Raw genomic sequence first — 10,624 nt, 5'->3', positions numbered from 1 at the left:
CATCTCTGTCCCTAAGGAATTTATATTTAGTGAGCCTGAAGGAGCCCCATAAAATCTCTGGGGGCCATATTTGGGACAAGGAAGCAAATTGCATGGAATGACCTGCAAGGATATGGACACCTTAACAGATATCAACCTGGAGAAATGATCTAGCCTGAAGGCCAAAAGACATGCTCCAGTTGCCTACATGGATAGAAAGTGATTCCTAAGGACCTGATCTCCAACATGTGCCTTTCTGCACTGCATGCATGCCCCTTATTCTAGAGTCATTTTCAGAGAAAAGTGGGAGAGGGAAATATCGGGCTGAGTGAGAAAACCCTGACATAATTGAAATTAACCTGAGTCGACAAGATTAATATCTATTTACTTATTTGGCAGTAGGCAGAATGGAGATTAGAGATAGAAACTAAATTTAATTATACACATCATAGAAAAGTTATAATTATTATACACTTTAGTTTATGTTTTTTTTGTATATTTTTATCCAGCACACCTGATTATAAATCTAATTGAACAGAAATTATCTAGAAATAACTTTGAATTATTATTCAAATATTATTCAAATATATTCAAAGTCAATATGTTGCATGGTAACTAAGATTAGCATTTGGGTTGGCATTAAAATATATTCTAGGAGATATCAAGTACCTGCGTGATTAGAAAGTTTTTCCATGTGATTTTGGATTAAATAGATATAGTATTAAAATGAATTCACTTTTGTGTTTCTGACAACATTTATGGGAGTTTTGGCATTAGAGTCATAACTGGCTGTAGGTCTACAATACCTTTGGTTTAGGATTGATATCTTGAGATTTGAGTGTTTATGAAACATTTGGCTTCAATTTAAGGCTACGGATGAAGAGTAAGTGCAGGTTTTGATTCCATCAGGGTTTGCACTGACAGTAACAAAGTACAGATGGAGACGTTCCCTTTATTGCTTTCTTGAGGATGTGCTGAGGTAAAGAGGGTTAAAAGACAGGTTGTTCCATAATCAAATACCTGACAAGTTAGGCTGTGGTTGAGAGACCATCTCAAGTTGTTTACCATGGATCAGGATTAGAGAAGATCAGGAAATGGTCAGATAAAAAAATGGAAATAGAAACAAGTTAGGGGATAGGGGACCTCAAGGAGAAAGGGCTGGAAAAAAGAAAGTGTTAAAAAGCTCAAGAAATGAGAAGCTATGTTCAGAGGTTTGGCTGGTGGCATTTCATATTTCGGAGGAGAAGCATTTTTGGGCAATGATGAGTTCTAAGACAGAGGACAGGAAGAGAGGGAAGGTGGAAGTTTCAGAAGCCACGGGGTTCAGGGAATTAAGATGAGGTTAGTAACAGGAGGCTCTGCCAGCTGAGACAAATGGTGCGGGATTTTAGGGAAAGAGCCCAAATCTGTCTGGAAGTAGACAGTTTTCTGAAGAACATTGATATAAGACACACACTAAAGGCTAGAAGACGCCCTGCAGTGTACTCTAATGAAAAATGAGCCCCATTTTTCCTGTTTGGCATCATTGTGAAGCCCCTGCCCCCGAGTCTCTTTGAGTAGTTTCCAAAGTTTCAGTCCTCAGGAGCTCCCCTGGCCCAAACTTGGGATGAGCTAATGTTATCTCCCAATGAACTTTTCTTTTGTTGTTGTAGCTATGTTATTGCCTAATTACAGTAACCTAAAGGTGGTGGGGGACTTCCAGAGTCCTGTAAGCACAGTTTCTTTCACCTGAATGTCTATGGATTGCATATGTCAAATACTAGGCTGTGGACTCTGAAAGCAGGAAACCATCCGAGTTGTTCCCCCTTATAATCCCAGTGCTTGGCATGCAATAAATGGTTACTGAATCAATGAATGCTTGAATGAAGGTATTAGCTGTGAAAGAACATCACTGAGCCTTTAGACTCACCAGAAATGCCAACTTTGGTTCTACTTCTTATCCATTATGTTCACATTGTCTTGTGTGGGCTGGGAGTTAGAGGCACTAGTGTCTTCAGGAGGAACAAGGCAGGAAATAAGTACTCTGTCAAGATGGAGTTTGCATCGTCAAAGACATGAGAGCTAATAGGTTTCAGGTGGTTCAGGAGGCCCACCACCATAGTATTAGTCCAGGAAGATTCATTTCATTCCTTCTTGACCAAGATGAGGCTCTTAATATGCACTTGTCTTGCTTAGGATTGATTGGCCTTGGAGCTGGGTGGGGCCTACCGGTGAGAGTCACTGGGGGTATGCTTTCTAGGCTAGAGAAGGCAAAACCTGATGTTCTGAGGTAGTTATCAGAATGACCAGGCCTCTCCTAGGCTGCTATATGCTTTCTATGAGCTATAGATCTAGATTCTTGTGGGTTTGGTTGCTCTTTCCAGTGCACATCTGCAAACACTTGTAGATAGTAGCTTTGATTCTCTTCTGTTGTTCTCATTTTTTCACCTACCTCCATGCCTCACAGTGACCAGGATGGAGAAGCAGCTCCATATTATGTCACACAAGGAACAGATTCAGGACTTAGGGTTCAGGGAGCATGAGCACAGTCTTTAGACACTTACATTAAATTTGCTCTGTGCAATTCCTGAAGAGAAATCTCTACCTATATATGGAAATTACAGGAAAACATTTGTCTGTCAACTCATCAGAAGAAAAACTGAGGATAGAATAAGTTGACCCAGATGCCATGAGCTCTCTATGACTGTAAATGTTTAGTTACATTGCCTATTTATAGATATTCTATTACTGATGGCTGATTATTATTAATACTTTTTTAAAATCATAAAATCTCAGGGTTGATTAGTGCAGAAAATTTCCAATCACTCACAGGAAGGAGGTTCTAAGGACTTAGGAGTTAAAACTCCAGCACTGACCCTGTCAGTCTGGACCCTTGTGGATGCTGCAAGGCAGACAGGACACCTGCACTGTGGCCTCCCTTGGGGTCATGACAGAATCACAATGGTTTTCTTTCCTTTAGGTATCTGCAATGAGGGATCCAAGAGGACAGAGAACAGGTTATGGCAGCCCAAAGACTGAAGTCCACAGGGAGCAAACTCAGCAAGCCTGCCTATCCAGGGTGCCCTGGCTGAACCCGGACTGGCTGCCCACATCCTGCTGGCAGCAAAACCGTCCCTAGTTGTCCTTGTGTCCCTGGTGTGCTCTGCCGTAGAACTTCTACCCATGCTTTTCTGAACTTTCCTGGAACCATATTTAAAAAGCAGCATTGGCCTTGCGTGATGGCTCACACCTGTAATCCCAGCACTTTGGGAGGCCGAGGCGGGCAGATCACCTGAGGTCAGGAGTTCAAGACCAGCCTGATTAACATGGTGAAACCCTGTCTCTACTAAAAATACAAAATTAGCTGGGCATAGTGGTGGGTGCCTGTAATCCCAGCTACTCAGGAGGCTGAGGCAGGAGAATCACTTGAACCTGGGAGGTGAAGGTTGTAGTGAGCCAAGATTGCACTCCAGCCTGGGTGACAGAGTGAGACTCCGTCTCAAAAAAAAAAAAAAAAAAAAAAAAGGCAGCATTATAGTGCAGAGGCTAAGAGCATGAGTTTTGGGTTTTGGGGTCAGGTAGACCTAGTTCTAATTCCCACTCTGTCACTTACTAGCTGTGTGGCCTTGAACAACATATTTTGGCTCTTTTTTGGTAGTTCTGTTGATTAGATTTATGCTTTTTTTATTTTGCTAGGGTGATTAGTTTTCATTTCCACCTTTTATTAAATATTTAAGTAGCCTTGCTTAATCCACATTCATGTTCCTCTTTTAAATGGGAAATCAAAAGTGACAGTAAAGCAAGTAGCTTACAGAGTCACACCTCAGAGGAGCAGAAAGTAGGGAGGCCAGCTTGCTTCCTGCTGCTTATTAGCCTTAATTAGCCCTTCTGTGATTCAAAGTTTATTCCCTGGACATCTCTAATTCTAAACCAAGGCCCTGTGAAAGATATAAATTTCCATGTTAAAAGCCCTTATTCTGTTAATGTCAAAATAAATGAGTCAGTATGGGGCTCACAAGAAGAGAGTAAAGCAGAGCTACCTGAAGAGGTGATGTTATGTTAATGGTGAAATAAGTGCTCTGTAAGGAGACACATACACAGTTTACTCATGAGCGCTCTCTACTTAGCCTTGGGAATATTGTACTGTGCAACTTCAAACCTTCCTCATCAAGGAGATGATTTTTTAATCTACGTGATTGAGAGAACCATCTGTTCTATTCAGCCCATTTCTCTTCTTCAGGTTCTGCCAATCCTCTCTGTGTATCCACATGTGTTTCCTCCACCTTGTCTGTGCAGAGGAATATGTTTTCTTTTTTCAAGGTCCTAGTTTCTCTTTTATCAATTGAAGAATGCTGCCTCTTGAAAAGAGGCTGGAAATGGTATAAAGAGATAATAATTATCTAATCTATCACCTGTATTGTAATTTTGTTAATTGACCCAATAATGGTTTTTATAGCATTTTTTTCCTCCTGGATCCAGTGGAGGATACAGTCTACAGTAATTTAACTGTTATGTCTCCTTAGTCTCCTTTAATCTGGAGTATTTCCACAGGTGTATATATGCATATATATATATATAAAATTGGTATATTGTTCCTTTGAATCTTTTTTTTTTTTAAGAAAAGGGTGTTTCTCATTTTGAATCTGTCTGATGCTTCTCATGAATTCCCAGCAAGAAAATGACATACGTGATGCTGTTGCCTTAGTGTATCACAAGTCAAGGCTCAAGATGTCCATCTGCCCCTCACTGACAATGTCAGTTTCCATTATGTAGTCAAGGTGCTGTCTTTTATCTCCTCACTGTAGTTACACTTTCCCCCACTTGCACCTAGTAAGAAATTTGTGAGGAGACACTTTAAGACCAAACAAGTATCCTGCTTCTCATCAAACTTTCATCCCACAGGTATTCCACTGATTTCCTGAGCCAATCTTTAAAGCAATAGTGAAAAAGGATGATTTTCCCCCTCCAGCACTCCCTAAACACTCTCCACTGCCATTTACCATTCCAGCACAAGTCCTCTCTTCTCTCTCATAAGAACTTTAGTGTGAATTTGTCTAGCTTGATGATGCCTAACCAAAAATAAGAATGTCTTCCCACTTGCTCAAGTGTACTTTTGTGATTTTAGGTTTTGAGCATCTCTTGTGTAAATCAAAAATAAAATTCAAATCCCTCCCCCACCCCTACCAACTAAATGGAGCCCTCCTCTTGGCCGAAGGCATTCCAAATTTAACCCTAAACATGAGTACAAACCATGATGGAAATGGGTGGTCAGATGTGTCTCATTATACCCTCCTGCCTTTGGAACTCAGGCACAACTAACCAGCATTAACATTAAAACAGAGACCTTAGGACTGACAAAGCAGACTCTGTAGCAATAAGACAGCAACATGACAGATGATAGTCCCTAAAAGAAATCAAAGTATTTTACCCCAAAATATATTTTTTTGACATATTTAAAATGGACCTGCCAAGCTGTCTCTTTTGGGGAAAATCTATATTCTGTAGAGAATCCCCTTCCTGATCCAGGAGAGAATTCACTAAGAATCTGGCACCTTTTCAAGTCTGAGAGGAAACATTTACAATTGATTCTCTCTGAAGCCTGTTACTTGGAGGCTTCATCTGCATAAAAAAAAGCCTTTGGTCTCCACAACTGCTATCTTAACCCAGACACTCCCTTCTATTGATTCTAGGTCTTTAAATAAACTCTTTCAACCAATTGCCAATAAGAATTGAATCCACCTATGTTCTGGAAGCCCTCCCCAAAACTTTGAGTTGTCCTGCCTTTCCGGACTGAACCAATGTATATCTCATATGTATTGATTCAGGGGTCCCCAACCAGTGTTGTTCCATGGCCTGTTAGGAACTGGGCTGCACAGCAGGAGTTGAATGGCAGGCAGGCACATGAAGCTTCATCTGTATTTATAGCTGCTCCCCATCACTTGCATTACCACCTGAACTCTGCCTCCTGTCAGGTCGGCAGTGACCATAGATTCTCACAGGAGCTTGAACTCTACTGTGAACTGCACATGAGCGGGATCTGGGTTGCATACACCTTATGAGAATCTAATGCCTGATGATCTGTCACTGTCTCCTATCACCCCCATATGGGACCATCTAGTTGCAGGAAAACAAGCTCAGGGGTCCCACTGATTCTATATTATGGTGAGCTGTATAATGATTTCACTATATATTACAATGCAATAATAAGAGAAATAAAGTGCACAACAAATATAATGCACTTAAATCATCCCCAAACTATCCCCACAACCCCTCTGGTCCATGGAAAAATTGTCTTTCATGAATCTAGTCTCTGGCACCAAAAAGGTTGGGGACTGCTGTACTGATTGATGTCTTATGTCTCCCTAAAATATATAAAACCAAACTATAGTCTGACTGCCTTGGGCACATGTTCTCAGGACTTCCTGAGGCTGTGTTGTATGTCCTTAACCTTGGCAAAATAAACTTCTAAATTGATTGAGACCTGTCTCAGATACTTTTGGTGTACACATGTTAAGTTTATTTCTAAGTGTTATGTGTTTTTATTGCTGTTTAAATTTTTTTCGTTTTATGTTTTTAATAACATAATTCCAACAATACGTGCCATTATTTGGGTATATAAATTTTATTAATTTTGCAGGTTAATTTTATATCTTGTTACTTTCTTAAATTATTTTATTGTGTTATCTTTACCATTTATTCTTAATGTTTTCCAGATGTACTATAATGTTATCTGTAGATATCAATAGCCTTTTTTTCTTGTTTATGTCTTATATATCTGTTTTCTCTATTTAAACTACTTTAAATAATGCCTCCAGAACAATGGTAAATAGTGAGAATTCTTGCTTTTTTTATGACTTTAGTGGAACTACTTTTAATATTTCCTCATTAAATAAGATTCTGGTTTTAGATTTTAGATAAATATACTTGTAACATGTTAAGGAAGCATCTATAAATTCCTGTTTTCTTAAGAGACTTTTATGAGGAATGGCTGTTGGGTTTCATCAGACTTTTTCAGCATTTATGAAGGCAATTATATTTATCTTCTTGAACCTATTAATACAGTAAATTATATTAACATATTTTCCAATGTCAAACCCCCCTCAAATTCCTGAATACACCCACTGTGTCATGGTGTATTCAGGTTATTTATTAATCTTGATTGCCTAAGCCCCTGTGGTACCCCAAGTGGGTTCTTTGACTGGCCTTAATCTCAATGTAGACCTTATTTAAGATAGTCATTCTCGTGTTAAAAAGCTCCTGTTCTGGTTACTCCAGAATAAACTGTTTAGTACAGGGGCTCATGAGAGGAAAGAAAAAAGCAAATAGGGCTCTTTTGCAGGATTGAGATGTGTCAGAGGTGTTGTCGGGACTTATGTCAATGTTATGCCCCTCCAATGAAAGAATTGATTACAAGTGGTTAAATCTATGCTCTGTAATGAAATGTATATAGAGTAATTCAAATATGTCTTTTATGTAGCAACTAAGGATATGATACAGCAGTTTCTGATGCTTAATTCCAGTCTTTCTTTGCTAAGAAAATGGTGATTTTCCTTACTCACATTAACAAAGAGAATACTTTCTGTTCTAGTCCTATCTGAAGTCCACTTCTTCCAGATTCTTCAGGTCATTTTCTGTGTACCTACACTATTATTATTCCATATAGTTTGGGCTGGAGTTGTCACTTTCCTGTATCAGGACTTTCTCCACCTTTTTCAGGGCATGCCACCACTTTTTGAAATGAGGAATAAAGATATGAAATAATATGAATTGTAGGCTGAAAATATGTGGAGGAGATCCTAGTGTTTTTTATATACATGAACAAATAAATGTAGAAAGAAAATTTAAGCTTTAAGATGAAAAAGACAAAGAATATGCTCTATCTCTTTTCATTCTTAATTTTCTCAATACTTAGAATAAGTCTCTTTTTATTTTTATTCAAACACCATTAATTTAGTCAACATATATTTGTTGATTATCAACTGTATATCAATCACTGTGCTAGGCTGTATGGAAAGAGAGCGACAGGATACTCATGAATGAACCATGATTCTTCTGTCAGGATAAAGAATCTGTAAAGAGAGGCAGAACTTAGTAATGCTATAGTGTAGGTATAATGAGAGGAAAATAATTTGTTTATAGCCCCCTTGTACCCTTGTAATTTTTAGTGTAAATAAATAATTCATCTTTCCTCAACATACTTGAAAACAGAGCGTATTTTAAGGGTATGTAAAACTGGCATATCGGTTATCTATTGTTATGTGGCCAACTACTTTAAAATTTAGCAACTAACAGCAACTGCTGTTTGTTTAGCTCATAACTCTATAGGTCAGCAATCCGAACTGGGCTCAGTTGGACAGTTCTGTTCTCAGCTGGACTCACTCATGGGTCTGTGGTCAGCTGTAGGACAGTTAGGTACCTCTGCTGGGGGTGACAGGGACAGGTGGTGGGCAACATGTCTCTCATCATTCAGTAGCTAGCTTGGGCTTGTTCACCTCACAGCAGAGCTTCCCAGAGCAGCAAGAAGGCAAGCCCTAAATGGGAAAATGCTTTTCACAGCTCTGTTTGCAACATGTCCGCTACCATCCTATTGGCCAAAGCAAGTTATTAAGGCAGCCCAGATTCTAGGAGTGAAGAAAAATTCCATCTTTTGAAGGGAGAAGCTGCAAAGATGTTGCACATCATGAAGGAATAGATTTGTTTTTATTTCTGCAATCTATCATGAGTGGCAATTAAAGCTGATGAAAAATTATCTACCACAGTATCTATCTTCTATCTATCTATCTATCTATGTATCATCTACCTACCTACCTACCTATCTATCATCTGTTTGTCAAGCTTAGGGTCAATGCTAGTTTTATATCACATTGTGGAGGAGAACATTAGGGAGAACCAAAATGTTCAATGAGTATTTATTTTGGCATTTGTTGTGGGTGGAGGTGGTGTAATACTCTCCTATATTTTCCTTATAATTAATAAAATATATACTGCTCTCATAAAATTTTAGTTGTGATTTTTATTCTGTGCAGTATTGAGGTTTTGGCACACCTAGAAAAATAAGTACCAGACCAAATGTGCAAGAAAATACATCATAGACCATTTGTGTCGGAAATGCTAAGAGATTGGAAAACTGCCTTTTGCCATATAAGCCTCTAGATTTTTAAGAGGACAAGAATTTTCTAAGAATAGATTGGTAGTAAGGAATTACTTTTAAGAGAGTTTTGTATATGTTATGTCATCTTCCACCCTCTTCTCTCAAACAAAATGATGGAGGTTACAGAAAATCTCTTACAAAGCTGACCGCATTCTTTTTGGAGTTGGGAAGGCCCTGGTACTGGTATCTGACTTACATTTGAAAGGGTCTAAATGTGAGTAACTGGATGAACCCCCCTGTAATAACAGAATGCAAAGATGAAACTGCATCAGGAATAACCTGCTCACTCAGAGTTTGGCAGGAAAGGCGCGTGTTTCCTATGGTTCACTGTGAACCAGACTGGATCATCTTGAAAGTGACCTTGTCCACAAGGATGCAGGATGAGGTGACTTCAGCAGAGGGCATGTTGAGGGGAAGTCCGCTGGCAGTCAAGGGATAAGGGGAATGTTCTAAGTAAGCTGGCTATAGCAGGCTTCATCAATGTCAGGGAATCGCAAGTGAAAGATCCCGGTGGGGAAATCTCTGAAGAAGCCACAAAAATGCTGCCCAAAAGAAAGAAGCAGCAGGTGGACACTGGCCACACAGAGTGTGGCTGTGGACAATGAAGACCTTTCCTATTTCATCTAGGTTATGGAATTTGTTGACATAAAGTTGTTCACAATGATTCCTTATTATCCTTTTTACATCCATAGCTCTGGGCATTCTTACATTAGTATGATAGTGCATTAGTAATTTGTGAATATTTTCTTTTTTGATTTTGCTGGAGATTTATTAATTTTAGTTATCTTTACAAACAATTTTAGATTTACTATTATTTTCTATTGTTGTTTTGCTCTATTTAATTGATACCAACTCTTATCTTTATTGTTACCGTTCTTCTATTATTTTGGGTTTACTTGAATTTTTACTACATTAAGGTAGAATTTTAGATAATAAATTCTAGCAATCTTTTCTGTTTATACATATTTAAAACTGTGAAATTTCCTTTTAGTACCATTTTAGTGGCTTTCCACAAGTTTTTGACACGTGTTTTTAATTTCTAATTCACCTTGGGTTTTTTTCTTTGATCCATGCATTATTAAGAACTGTGGGCCTGGTGAGGTGGCTTACGCCAGTATTCCCAGCACTTTGGGAGGCTGAGGTGGGCGGATCACCTGAGGTCAGGAGTTGAAGACCAGCCTGGCCAACATGGTGAAACCCCATCTCTACTAAAAATACAAAAAATTGGCCGGGTGCAGTGGCTCACACCTGTAATCCCAGCACATTGGGAGGCCGAGGCTGGTGGATCACGAGGTCAGGAGATGGAGACCATCCTGGCTAACATGGTGAAACCCTGTCTCTACTAAAAATACAAAAAAATTAGCCGGGTGTGGTGGTGGGCCCCTGTACTCCCAGCTACTCGGGAGGCTGAGGCAGGAGAATGGCGTGAACCCGGGAGGCGGAGCTTGCAGTGAGCAGAGATCATGCCACTGCACTCCAGACTGGGAGAGAGAGCAAGACTCCGTCTCAAAAACA

The 10,624-nt window shown here is 39.3% G+C and overlaps 1 annotated feature.

Annotated features, from left to right (window-relative positions):
- Positions 5,238 to 5,884: an enhancer, noted in NCBI's record as "OCT4-NANOG hESC enhancer chr1:157838349-157838995 (GRCh37/hg19 assembly coordinates)". NCBI's record gives its function as "activates a minimal SCP1, AML or CMV promoter by ChIP-STARR-seq in primed H9 embryonic stem cells {active_cell/tissue: H9 hESC(primed)}" and the evidence as "EXISTENCE:reporter gene assay evidence [ECO:0000049][PMID:30033119]".

The sequence above is a fragment of the Homo sapiens genome, chromosome 1, assembly GCF_000001405.40.
Source record: "Homo sapiens chromosome 1, GRCh38.p14 Primary Assembly".
NCBI classification, from domain to species: domain Eukaryota; kingdom Metazoa; phylum Chordata; class Mammalia; order Primates; family Hominidae; genus Homo; species Homo sapiens.
Note: the sequence above shows the minus strand (reverse complement) of the source record. Positions and strands in the feature narration are given on the sequence as shown.